At 46.4% G+C, this 12,457-nt stretch overlaps 1 protein-coding gene across 11 annotated transcripts in view, besides 1 other annotated feature; it reads right to left on the bottom strand.

Annotated features, from left to right (window-relative positions):
- TRIO (trio Rho guanine nucleotide exchange factor) overlaps positions 1–12,457 on the bottom strand; it is a 366,863-nt gene that overhangs the window by 140,562 nt on the left and 213,844 nt on the right. For all 11 annotated transcript variants that reach the window (NR_134469.2, XM_047417679.1, NM_007118.4 and 8 more), the window contains 7 exons: positions 11,296–11,465; positions 10,112–10,286; positions 5,716–5,911; positions 4,827–4,993; positions 2,664–2,783; positions 744–935; positions 120–269 (listed from right to left, as the gene is read on the bottom strand). Coding sequence is in view for 10 of the 11 variants with exons in the window: in XM_047417679.1 (XP_047273635.1) it covers positions 120–269; positions 744–935; positions 2,664–2,783; positions 4,827–4,993; positions 5,716–5,911; positions 10,112–10,286; positions 11,296–11,465 (1,170 nt within the window). In the remaining variant the exon portion in view is untranslated. The remainder of the gene's footprint in view (positions 1–119; positions 270–743; positions 936–2,663; positions 2,784–4,826; positions 4,994–5,715; positions 5,912–10,111; positions 10,287–11,295; positions 11,466–12,457) is intronic.
- Positions 10,954–11,643: an enhancer, noted in NCBI's record as "H3K27ac-H3K4me1 hESC enhancer chr5:14358109-14358798 (GRCh37/hg19 assembly coordinates)". NCBI's record gives its function as "activates a minimal SCP1, AML or CMV promoter by ChIP-STARR-seq in naive H9 embryonic stem cells {active_cell/tissue: H9 hESC(naive)}" and the evidence as "EXISTENCE:reporter gene assay evidence [ECO:0000049][PMID:30033119]".

Raw genomic sequence — 12,457 nt, 5'->3', positions numbered from 1 at the left:
CATTCCACAGCAGGCAAGAGGTGTGGGGCAGGCTCCCTTGGGAAGCGATGACTGTGCCACGCGCACCTGGCAGGCAGGAAGCCTCTGATGGGTGCACTGTCCCGCAGCGCTGCCCCTACCTTCAGGAATGCCTCCTTCTGCTCCAGGTGCTTGCTGATCATGGGCGTCACGTGGTCCGTCTCAGAGTTTGGGCCCAGCTTATCCGCCCCGCCACACCAGTCTTCTTCTCTCTTGTACTCCTGTTCCAGGCTCTCGAGGACGCTGCAGACCTGTGAGCAGGAAAAGTTTGAGGCTCAGACTTGGCATCTGCCACTGCCGACTGGTATCCCTGGAAAGCCCTTTCAGTCGGGCTCTGGGGATGAAGATGCTGTCAGGAGGATCAAGACCATAAGAAGGAGCCATGGGCTCCACCTGGCTGGAGAACAACTACAGGGTCAAAAGCAGGCAGACTTTTCAGAGCGAGAACAAAACCAAAGCAAATATCCTGTCTCTCTCTAATGTGCTTCAGGTCCTATGTTTAAATGACAAGAAGAGAGGTGTCTTCTCAGCTACTTTCTAGCTTATTACCTTTGACATCTAAGGTACACAGGAATAATTTTAACTCCAGAATGCCTTTTCCCTGCTTGACTGGCAACTGATTGTTTCAATAACGATGAACATGTTAACAATGATTGAGCTGTCCAATAAATTAAGCTCAAAATAAAGTATCAGTGGAGTTCAAGGAAGGGAACCTCTCCCCTGACCTGCTCTGAGGTTTTGTAGAAAGCGACAGAGGCGTTGACGAGCTTGAGGCGATCTTCCATCTTGAGCATGAGCTGTTGCCAGTGAGACGCCACCTTCTCGGCGCAGTCCCGGATCATGTCCATGTCGTAGTGGTTGGCCTGTAGCATGGCTTCTGCCTTCTGCTGCACCTGCAGCGCGCTCTGATGTGTTTTCTAGAGACAGAGAACAAAAGGGAAGGCTTATTTGTCAGTGTCCCCACTGACTAGAAAGGAACCAGGATGGCTACAGTTACTCTGTTCTTCATGATTTTGTGGAAATACCTTCAGTTAATACTCACTAGGATGCTTCTAAAAGCACAGCAGACAGTTTAGCAAAAAAGGTTTTATGCCGAGAAACAACTAGATCTATGTTTAAATTAGCTAATGAAGGATGAAATTGATCAGGACCTCCCAGAATGGGTCTCGGTTGTAGGGTTCTTAGTCTGAGAAATAGCAGGAAAGACCCTTAACAGCCAAAGAAGTGGTTGAAATGTTCCAAGTTTATTATTCCTGTTGATCCTTCTCATAATAGCTGCTGGAAGCAAATGAACAAGCAGAGAAAAGGTGGCCAGAGTGAATGCTTTTTATTTTCACTTGCAACTTAAACTCTGGACTCCAGTGAAAAGTTTTCAAGAACTATTGATTTTAAAAAGGAAAGAAAAATCAAAAAGCTAAGAATGAAACAACTGTGTTCTCTGGAGGTCCATGCCATCTGATAAATCTATGCAAATGGCATGGCAAATGCAGTAGGATTTTGCTCAGCTGTCTTCACTAGAAGAGCCAGGATGGGCTGAGAGGTAAGCTTCTCTCCAGTGAGGCCGTAGAGCCAAGGGAGGGTGTGGTCAGGGAGAGCACAGGTCTCTAAGGACAGATTTTTTTTAAACAATAGCAAAACCTCTCATTTCGCCTGAAGAAGTACAAATGATCCCATAAAACACTATATACAATATATTCTAATCCTTTACCCAGACACAGTGATTTATTACCTGCAATTTAATTACTAGAAATCCCTTGGCACAGTATACAGATGCCCAGAGTTTGCACCTCAGGAAGAGGTGTTAATGCATGTCCAATGGCACCAAACAGTTGACAATAAATTAATCCAGGGAATAAATTAGTGGCAACTTCTGTAGCTTTCTTCTCTAGCTGACAACATGTATGTGAGCAGAGCAGGAGATAACATTTCTGTAATCAAATGTTCTTTTTCCTTTGACATTACCTCACCACTACCAATCAGAACCATGACCCATGTGCCCTACCCATACCAAAAAATAAAAATAATTAGTCCACATGCTGACAGTTAATTGGATCAGGCCTGGAATTGGCCTGAGTCATTTTGCGACAGTTCTGGCATGGCAGTGACCCTTGTCAAGGTGAACAAGGCTGCTTTTAAGCAGGAATCTGAGGAGTTTTGCTGTCGGCATCGTTTACTGACTGATAGTGAATTCATGATATACACCTGGTCTTGCTGAGCTCTCTGCTTGGTTGAGGTTGGTAACATAGCAGAAATGTGCTTAAGAGACCAGCAAGATTAGAAAACCTCAGCTGAGACTGCAACGTGGGCTCCTCGGTTCTGAGCCATTCCAGATGAGAGAAAGTGCATCTTGCCAGGGCTCCTACAACAGGAGAACAACAGGAACCCCCTGGCCTCCGAGACCTTTGGGATCCTTGCAGTGAGGCTGCCTGGCTGGGATGCAGATCCTCACCTCACCGTGGCACCACACTGTTTCCCTTTCCTGTAATCAGCTGCAGACTTAGAAGCGTTGCCAATTTGGGTCCTCTGAGTCGTCTTTACCAAGCCAGCCCCATGTGGTTCCCATGGTCAGTGCCATGTTGGGGGATTCAGGATGTTTGTCCTGAGGAATGAAAGAGCCAACACACAGGCAGGCCCAGCGCCCTTACCTCAATGGCATGCTGGAACTGCTCGTGCTCTCGCTGGAGCTGCTCTGCCTCTTGTAACGAGCTGGCTGTGATAAGTCCGGCATTTAACATGGACTCTCCGTTGCGGATCCAACCCAGCACCTGAAACATTACACAGGATAACTCCAAGCAGTGGACTTCCCAGAGAATCCTGTGGACCACCAGGGGTGAGATACAAGCGTGCAAGATAGTCCAGTTGCTCCTGGCAGGTACGAGGCACTGATGCCTTCATCATCCTAAAATCCAGGCAACAGCCTGATGTTCTTCCATGGTACCTGACTGCAAGTGCTGCATCTTTTTAATTAGTTCTGTTATTTTTAGTAGCAAATGGGAAATGAAAAGGTGGAGGGTCCAGTGGATTGTTGATAATTAGTCCACAAGTCAAAACAGATTATGGGCCATATTTTAGAAAACCTACTGACACCAGGAATTCCCTGATAATCAAGAAAAATATTTTTCATTCCTTTCCAGCATTTTTAGGACTGAAAAATTGGCAAATGCTTGAAAAGGGGGAACTAATTTATTTCACGAACTCTTTTTCCAACTTAACTGCAGTGTTGAATGGCATAATAACCAAGGTATGAATAACATTGTGCTACAATGATCAGGTTCAAACCATGAGCTTCTCAACTGCACACACACTCAGAGGAAGTAAATTCTAACAGTGGAAACCACAGATTGTGGGAGGTCTTCTGGATAGTAAGGTGTGGCAGTGACCTCAAGTAACCTATATAATACCTATTGCCCTCTCGTTTACTTAGCACAGAAGTACTTTTATTGTCTAAGCCCTCTCCCAAAGTTGGGGCTTTACTTAGAAAAACTCCAACTAAGTAAAACCCCAACTTTGAGAGAGGGCTTAAACAATAAAACCACTCTGTGTCTGGGGTTTTCTAAGTAAAACCCCAACTTTGGAAGAGGGCTTAAACAATAAAACCACTTCTCAGCTCCTATTACAGCTTGGCTACAGTAATGTACAAGTCTAGCCAATGAAAGCAAAGCAGGAGTCTCTGGGGAAGTTTGTGAAAATATTTCTTTTCTGATAGAGGGGCTGCCTCTTTCTCATTATGCGTTCCCCTTCCTGATAATTTGGGATATGGAGGTGATGGCTGGAGCTACAACAGCCACTTGGCAACCAGAAGGGAAAGGCCAGCCATCACCAAGATCTCAGCCTAATGTATCATGGGACCACTAAATGCAGACCAGCAATCTTCTTCTACATTCTGACTTGTCACATGCGGAAAACACCTTTTCAAAGCCACTATTTTTTAGTCTCTGTTTTAGGCAAAGGTGAATCCTAAGGGATACATTTATTTATTCCGTTATTTCTTAAATAAACTGTTTTGTGTTTTGGCAAGAAGGAGGGCTTTGTTAGCAGGTCACAACACTTATTTATATGTAAAAATACCCACACTGCAGATGGCATGTGGGAGACTGAAAGGTGCTCTTTTCAACAGTTCTGACTGAAGAGTCTACCTGTTCTGATGTGAGTGCCACCTACTTCTGCACCACCTCCTGCTCATGGTCCAGAGGCATCTTAAGTCCCCTCCAACCAAACTTACTTTCTGTTTGCTTTCTCTGCATCTTTCAGGGCACCATAAGCTTTTCTCTCCCTCCATCAAGCCAGTTAATAAAATGTCATATCCATGCACAGAATCCCACTGGCACTGAGCCAAAAGCAATCCCTTCCCCATGTCCCATTTTCACTTTGTCATGCCATCAGGATGTGGTATTACAGTATCCTGATAACAAAAGAAATGCCCCAGGCATCTGGAGTCTGAGAAACAATCCAGATCCTAACAGTACTGGGCAGAAAAAGTCATATAAGAAGCAATATGCTCAGGGTTTCAAGCAAGAGACAGACTATCAATACTGAAAGAAGCCAAGGGCTGTTACCTTCAAGTGCTGCCTGTGCTGGGTGAACAGCCAGCCAGCTGTCCTGGCCACTGGCTCCCTTTTCACACATTAGGGATGGCTGTAATCGGGGGGCGGGGGTGTGTGTATGTGCGCATTATCTTACATATCAGGAAAGCTGTGTTCTGAGCAGGCACAATCCTTCCCAATGCTACAGGTCAGAATTTCCGGGAAGTCGATGAGGTATCAAGCATCTGTAGCGCAGCCTCCCCAAGCATCCAGTCGTTTGCTCACCTGTTTCACTTCTGCCTGCAGGTGGCGCAGCTGCACGCACTGCTCCAGGTGTTTCCGATGCTGCTCTGCGGCTAAATCCAATTCCTGCTGTTTTTCATGAAGAAACTCCAGCAGGTCCTGGACCCGAGTTGCCATGTCTACATCTCTATCACACAGCAGCTCCACACCTGTGGACATTAAAGGGAGACCCTAGAATTCAGCTAGCACTTCAACCTTCTGTTCTCAAAGGGTGGATGGCACAAAATCTGCTTTTGTGAATGATCTGCCCAGCTGGGGGCCAAGCCATTATGCTGAAGGGCAAGTTCAAGGAGGGCAAAGTGTGTCAAAGGATGTATAGGCAATCAATCCACATCCACATCCCATCCATTTCTACTCCCACACTGATAACTAGGAAAGTGTGGCATTCTTTACAAATGAGCGAATTTCAGGGTTTTTTTTGTTGTTATCCTCATTACTTGCAGTTTCCTCTTTGGTAAGCATTTAATTTGTGTAAAATGAATAATGCAGTATGCAGGTTGTTGCTAAGTTTCTAATACATTTCTGAACCTATAGTGACATCTGCTGGTAAAACATAAACTAAAAAAATAAAGAATGTGAAAATGTTTTCCTGGGATTTATAGTTCATTTACAGAGATACAACATATCATTGTGTAGAATTAAAGTTCATGATACTTAAAATAGTATGTGAGAATATCATGGGTGAGTACTCTAACCATGTTAAATGTGACTGTATTACATAAAAATGCAAACGTTCTTTTAAAGAACAGGTATCTATAATACCTTTATCATAGGAACTAACAAAATTTGCAGTCATCCCACTGAAATAAGCCGAATTGCCATGACGACATGAAGAAATCACAACGGACACAGATGGAGTGAGCCCTCTTACCAGAGGCCTGGACCTCATTGACATACTGCAGAAGATCTTGCCCTTGGTGGATGACGTCAAAAGTCAAGTTGTTCATGGTCAAGGCTTTGTCTGCATGGTGCTGGAGGCGCTGCTCTGCAATCGTGAGATCTTCTGTGTCGAAGTCATTCATTTGCTGAGAAAGCTCATCATTCCAAGACTCGAGGTCTGAGATAATCTGAAAGAAGGTATTTAAGATCAAGACAAAAAAAATATACATGCAGCCACCTCTCACTCTGTACCAAGTAAGGAAGGAAGAGATGTCTCTCTGCCAAAGGACAGAGACGTCAAACACTTAAGATGCATGAGTTTGGTGGTATACAAATCACACCTCAATAAAGCTGTTTAAACAAATTAAACATAAATAAATAAATGGACACAGAAGCCAGATGAAGGGGTTCCCAATGGCCACAGATACCGAAAGAGAAGATAAATAATTTTTCTCTTTGTGTATCCAAAGAGAAAAATTACCAAAACTGTGTAAAATATACCGTATATACAAAAATCCAGTAATATTCCTAATGGTGTTCAAAAATAGTAAGAGAAGCTAAAAGTCAAAAAGAAAGAAAAGAAAAAGTATTTGGTCTCCACTAGAAGTAGACAGTAAATCGGCTGGGGGTGGTGGCTCACGCCTATAATCCCAGCACTTTGGGAGGCCAAGGTGGGCGGATCACTTGAGGTCAGGAGTTCAAGAACAGCTTGGTCAACATGGCAAAACCCCATCTCTACCAAAAAATACAAAAATTAGCTGGGCGTGGTGGCATGTGCCTGTAGTCCCAGCTACTTGGGAGGCTGAGGTAGGAGGATCGCTTGAACCTGGGAGGCAGAGGTTGCAGTAAGCTGAGATGGCACCATTACACTCCAGCATGGGCAAGAGTGAGACCCTGTCTCAAAAAAAAAAAAAAAAAGTAGATAGAAAACCAATCATTATCCTAAATATTGGTGCTTAATTAAAAGATAAAAGAACATTTCATAATGAAGAATTCCTCTTTATAGATGAATCTAGCTATTAAATGCAGAAAGAATAATAAAATTGAAAATTGTTTTCACATTCTCATAAGCAATGATCATCAGCGCATAGTAAACTGTCGTGAGAAAAAGGCTGAGGGGACTTAACCACAGAAGGCTCAGCATAATGGTGCCTGAACCGGCCTCAGGGTCCCGAGGGAAGTGGGATTAGACAGGCCCAGCCTTCGCATGGGGAACTACGATGCACCACCTCGCAAAGACTCGTGCACAAAAACAGAACCAGAATCAGGTCTTTGCATCTAACTTCTAAGTTTAGAGGAAACGCCAGGGAAACTAAAAGTTACACAATCTAAAATAATACAAGTGAACAAACACTGAATGTGGGATCTGGTTCCTTTGACAACCAATCTAGTTATTTCAGCAAATGATGGCATGAAAAGAAGAGGAGGAGGACAAAGGAGAGACAATTCTAGATTAAGAAACTGACCATTAAACACAAGAGCCAACCTCACATGCCTCCTAATTGAGGCACCCACATCAATCCGAACACGCTGGGAGTCGATGACAATAAGAAATGACTGTCAAATTGGGGAGATGTTTAGTTGATTGAGGGGATGTAAGAAAATGGCCTCATCTTTTAGAAAAACCATTAGGAGTGAAAGAATAAACTGGCAATGATTTTCTCTAAAATACTATAGCACAGCCATAACCAAAGAAGCTTAACCAGTCTGGCAAAATCATGCTGAATCTGTGGGACAGGCACACGGTAGTTCCACTGTACTGTCCTCTGTGCTTCGGTATAGCTTTGAAGACATTCATTCATTCAGAGATGGAGTTCCACTCTTGTCACCCAGGCTGGAGTGCAATGGTGCAATCTCCCCTCATGGCAACCTCTGCCTCTGGGGTTCAAGCAATTCTCCTGTCTCAGTCTCCCAAGTAGCTGGGAGTACAGGTGCACGCCACCACGCCTAATTTTTGTATTTTTAGTAGAGATGGGGTTTCACCATGTTGACCAGGCTGGTCTCGAACTCCTGACCTCAGGTGATCTGCCCACCTTGGCCTCCCAAAGTGCTAGGATTATAGGCGTGAGCCACCACGTCTGGCCATAATAAACTTTAAAAAGATTATAAAATCTAAAAAGCAGGAAAAGCTTCTTGCGAGAGATGACGACACCACCCACTTCAGTGGAGTGACATTTTCCGTGGATCCTATGCACCTTCTCCACAGGAGGACTGTCCACACTGGACCTCCATCCACATCTGAGATGGAGACGCTACTCCAATTGAAACACAAGAGATATGAGGGACTTAAAATAAATTAACCGGGTAACAGATCAATTCTACCATCGACATAACTCCATACTCCTATGGGCCGTCAGATGTGGCATCTTCCTGGATAACAGAGGAAACCTGGCCAAAGCCTGAACTGCTCAGATTTTCATTTTTCAGGATTAAAGAGAACAGAGGTTCTCAGGCTGTGATCTTCTAACAGCTTCTGAACCATATCTGAAGCTGGCCTGAGACTGGGCTGCAGGTACAGCTTCCTCTGCTCAGGATGAGCTCCCCCAGGCTGTGGCACACTGGCTCTAACTAGGGCACTTGTAATTTCGTGGCTTTGTTGGGGGAAAAATGTATGTTTTTGTTTCCTAATCTGGTTCAATGAAAGCGGAAGTACTTTCATATACTTACGATAAATACAATTTTTTAAATATTAAAAATTTTTTTCTCTTTATAGTATTAAGATAAACGAATCGATTTTTTTTTTCAAGTATCAAAATGTCCTGGAAGAAAAACTGCAACTAATGCTTCTGGTTGGTTTGTGTTTTCTAGTTGAAAATATTCAATATGCAGCTAAGTTTTACAAAAGCGAGTCCTTTGAAGTCAGAGAGGAAAGTAGGCGTGGCTGGCCTCCCGTTTATTCTGTGCTGCTACCTTGGGGAGGACATGGCAGGCCCTCACGGGGCAGAGGTCGGCGTGCAGGTGCCTCTTCTCCACATGGCTCCATGTGGATCTAAATGTCAAGACTTTGAGAGCATCTGAACAGGTTTCACCATGCCACATGTTTAGGGTTTGACTCCTTTCTTGTTATTCACTAATGATGAGAATGAGCAGAGCCAAGAAGGTCTGTTGTTAACGAAAACAGTGCCGGAGACTTAGACAAGTGGCCAAGCAAAGGCATCCAGGAGAGTCCTGCGCAGGGCTGGTCTGGCCCTTGCACCACAAACCAAAACCACTCCCCAGGGCAGGCCTATAGACAGGCCCAGGGGAAGCCACACGGCCCACTATGGGCAGAAGGTCCCTCCTGTACCGAGGTGACTGAGGGCAGGCTACGCACAGCCCTGCCATCCCCAGCCTGAGTGCCAAGGACTGCTGATGAATTCTAAACCAGAGACAAGAAATAAATATTGAGAGGGTGTGCTCTACAGGTGTCCATCACAGAGGACCCACAGGGCAGCCCAGAGGTATGTGGAGGAGGCCTTCGGGCTGTCACAGCCACCAGCTGTAAGAAGCGGCTAGACTCCAGGAGAGCAGGCTCACCACTGAGGGGAGCTTAGGCTCCTTACGTCACGTTCCCAGGTAAATTCGTGCTCATGTGATTGGACTGACTTCTGCTCGCATGGTATCAAAAAAGAGAGCTCCTCCTAAGCACAGAACCCAGAACCACTCTCTTTTTGTTGAAGAAAGATAAAAGACACCTGTAAATTCTTTCTCCTGTTCACATATAAGATGCAAAAGTCCACGTTTAGGTAAGAATCATGGATAATCTAAGAACACCTCTTTGTGGGGGGAAATTGTGTTTTTTGTTACCTAAAATGCTACGACCACAAGTCAGGATTATTCCCACTCTAGAAGAGAGAAGGGCAAGAGAGAGAAAGATGGAAAGAGAAAGGGAGGAAGCAAGGAAGAGAAAAGGTAGGAGAGAGAGAAGGTGGAGAGAGAGAGAAAAGGGGAGGGTGAGGACAGGAGGAGAGTGGGAAGGATGAGAAGACGACAGGGAGGAAGAGAGGAAGACTTGCTGCCTGAAGCTGATGCCTGTGCCTAAGCTGAGGACAAGGGAGTGCTGTGTGCAACCCAATCGAGGTTTTAACACCCCAAGGCCGAGAGAAAGCTGTGCTGGCTTCCTTCTGTTCCGCTCAGCGCTTGCTGTGCTCTGCTCCTGCCACGCGAGCTGCCTGCTCTATAGTTTCCAACATTAGGGTCCAGGGCTGAGCATACCCCAGCCTCCCAGGGATGATCCAATTCCAGCCTCCAGGGACCCTCTCTCCCTCCCACACCCCCTCCTGGTGCAGAGGGTTGGGGTGTGGGTGAGGACACAGGACCTCAGCAGGGCAGAGACAAGAGGGCGCCGGTGCTGTGGAGGAAGCCAAGGGCTCCCACAGGCAGGCAGGCGCCAGCCGCGGGACACTCACGTCGATGGCGTCCCTCTCGAAGATGCGCAGCTGCAGGAAGAGCTCCAGCTTGATCTTGCGCTCCTGGAAGAGCTCCTCCATCTGCGACTGCGCCTCGTCCAGCTGCTGCAGCACCGTCTCAATGTGGTTGATGGAGCTGTTGTGGGGGGTCTTGTTACTGGAGATGGCAGAGTCCCTGCGAGAGCACACAGAGGAACAGGAATTGGATGAGAAAGTCACACATTGTTAGATACCAGATCCGGCCACGCAAATCTTCAGGGGAAGAAAGCTGGCAGGAAGCTGCACTGCTTGTCTCAGAAAATGGAACGGGCTGCTCTCCTGCAAAACAATATTAGGCTTCCTCCTCGGGGCAATCCTGCTGAATCTGAGGATACATTGAAGAATTTCTCTGGCATTTTCTGAAATCACTTGGTAAGAAGGCTAATAATTATAGAAAATTACTTTAGAGTTGTATTTTTAGCCACTTTTCTTCTTAAGTAAAAAATGGATGATACCTGGTTAGTATAAATGACAGAGTCATATTGGACACGAGAGGTTAACCTTTAATGCAATCAATTAAGCCTTTATTAAGTAACTGCTGCCTGCCTCTCTCAGCAAAGTGAACGTCACGTAAAGTTATCAGTCAACGATTTGATAAATTTTCCTGAGTGATACAGTAGGGGGTTAAATGGTCCCCCTGACCCAATAAAAAAAATTTGCTTCCAGAGGAAACAAAACCAATCCTGGCTCTGCCTCCATATCCTGCTTTGAAGAGCACTTGGGGGTGGGTGTCCGCCCCATGCAGGCCTGACTGAATCTGGACGTTGGGAGGTGAATACTGCTGTGCTCTAGATCAGCCTGAGGGCGCAATCCTTGGAAGCTCACATTAATCTGGTTTATAAAGAAGTGTCAATAATTACTAGTTGGATGTTAAGAGAAAATATTAAAATTAAATTATGTGGTTTATTAGTCGATGTTATAATGAAAACTATTATGAAGTTAAAACTGTAAGGAGGGAGAGAAGGGAGGGGAAAGGAAAAGAGAGAAGAGAGCCGTTTCTCTCTCCTTTGCCTTCACAGACACTACTAGCTCTGCACTCAGCTGGACAGAGAAGCAGAGCTGACCACTCACAAGAGTAAAAGGGGAAGGGGAGTCACAGGCAGGGTTTCAGAATCTGTTCGGACCAGGAGAGGGGTGAGGCCCACCTGAGCTGCTGGATGAGGTCCTCCCCTTCCTTGATCACGTTGACAGTCACCTGCAGGGTGGTCTGCTGCTGCTGGCCAAAGCGCTTGATGAGGTCCTGCACGGCCTCCACCGACTCGGCATACACGTCGTCCAGCAGCTCCTTCTGCAGCTCCTCCAGCCACGTCCACAGCTGGGGAAGGGGAGAGGGGGGTGAGGCCGGCCGGCCTGGCTGCACCACCAGGTGGGCCGCCCGGTGTCCAAGGGGCCCCAGTGGAGACGGTGTGTGACTTGCCCTGGGAGGGGACTGGTGACAGACCACTCCCGGAGGGAAGGAAGGAAGGACGGGAGGGAGGGGCATCCAGTCCCACTGCCAGCGGAACACATGCACAACAAAAGCAGCATGCCACCGCCGCAGGGAGGAAAATAAACAGGCGAACGGCGGGCAGCACTGTCACAAAAGAGAAAAAGGAAAGGGAAGGGAAGCTGCTCTTTCCCATTCTCCCGAGGCTCAATCCAGACTGCAGTGGAAATAAGAAAAGACCCTCAGTTCGCAGAAACATCTGCTGATATGTCTCGGGCTCTTACTTAGCAGGTGGACACTTGTATTTCAATTTTTCATTATTAAACCACCGATTTCCCCCGGAAGCACACAGAAGGAAGTGCACAATGTGATGAGAGGAATTCACCACCGAGCCTGGCCAGGGACCAGGGTGTGGAGCTAGGGAGGTGACGGCACGAGCCCAGGCCCCACAATCAGGCTGCCAACAGTTCGGGCCTTCAACGGAAAGAGTGTGCATGCTGAAAAGATGCAGACACCTCCACTGCCACCACCATAAAACAGGCTGCTGGAGACCTAGATGAGTAAAGACACCCTGGAATGAGAGTGGCAAGAATGACTTTGGGCCAGGTGGGAGCCAGGGAGCAGAGCCTACTTCCTGAAAGTCCATTAACTCCTGCAGATCTCTGGGGTACTATTCACGGAACTGAAAAAGACAATTAATTACATTAAATGGGCCCTGGTGGCTTGTATGTAGAGAAAATGCTTTCAGCCTCCTCAGGGACTAAGAGTCAGCTCACGCATCTTCTGTATGTCTAGTGGGGACAGCCGGCTCAGCTGGTGAGATGGGGCAAGTCGGGACCTCCCGCTTGATACCCTGTGCAACGCCTGCTGCCTCAAGACTC

This window comes from Homo sapiens, chromosome 5 (assembly GCF_000001405.40).
Source record: "Homo sapiens chromosome 5, GRCh38.p14 Primary Assembly".
Taxonomy (NCBI): domain Eukaryota; kingdom Metazoa; phylum Chordata; class Mammalia; order Primates; family Hominidae; genus Homo; species Homo sapiens.
Note: the sequence above shows the minus strand (reverse complement) of the source record. Positions and strands in the feature narration are given on the sequence as shown.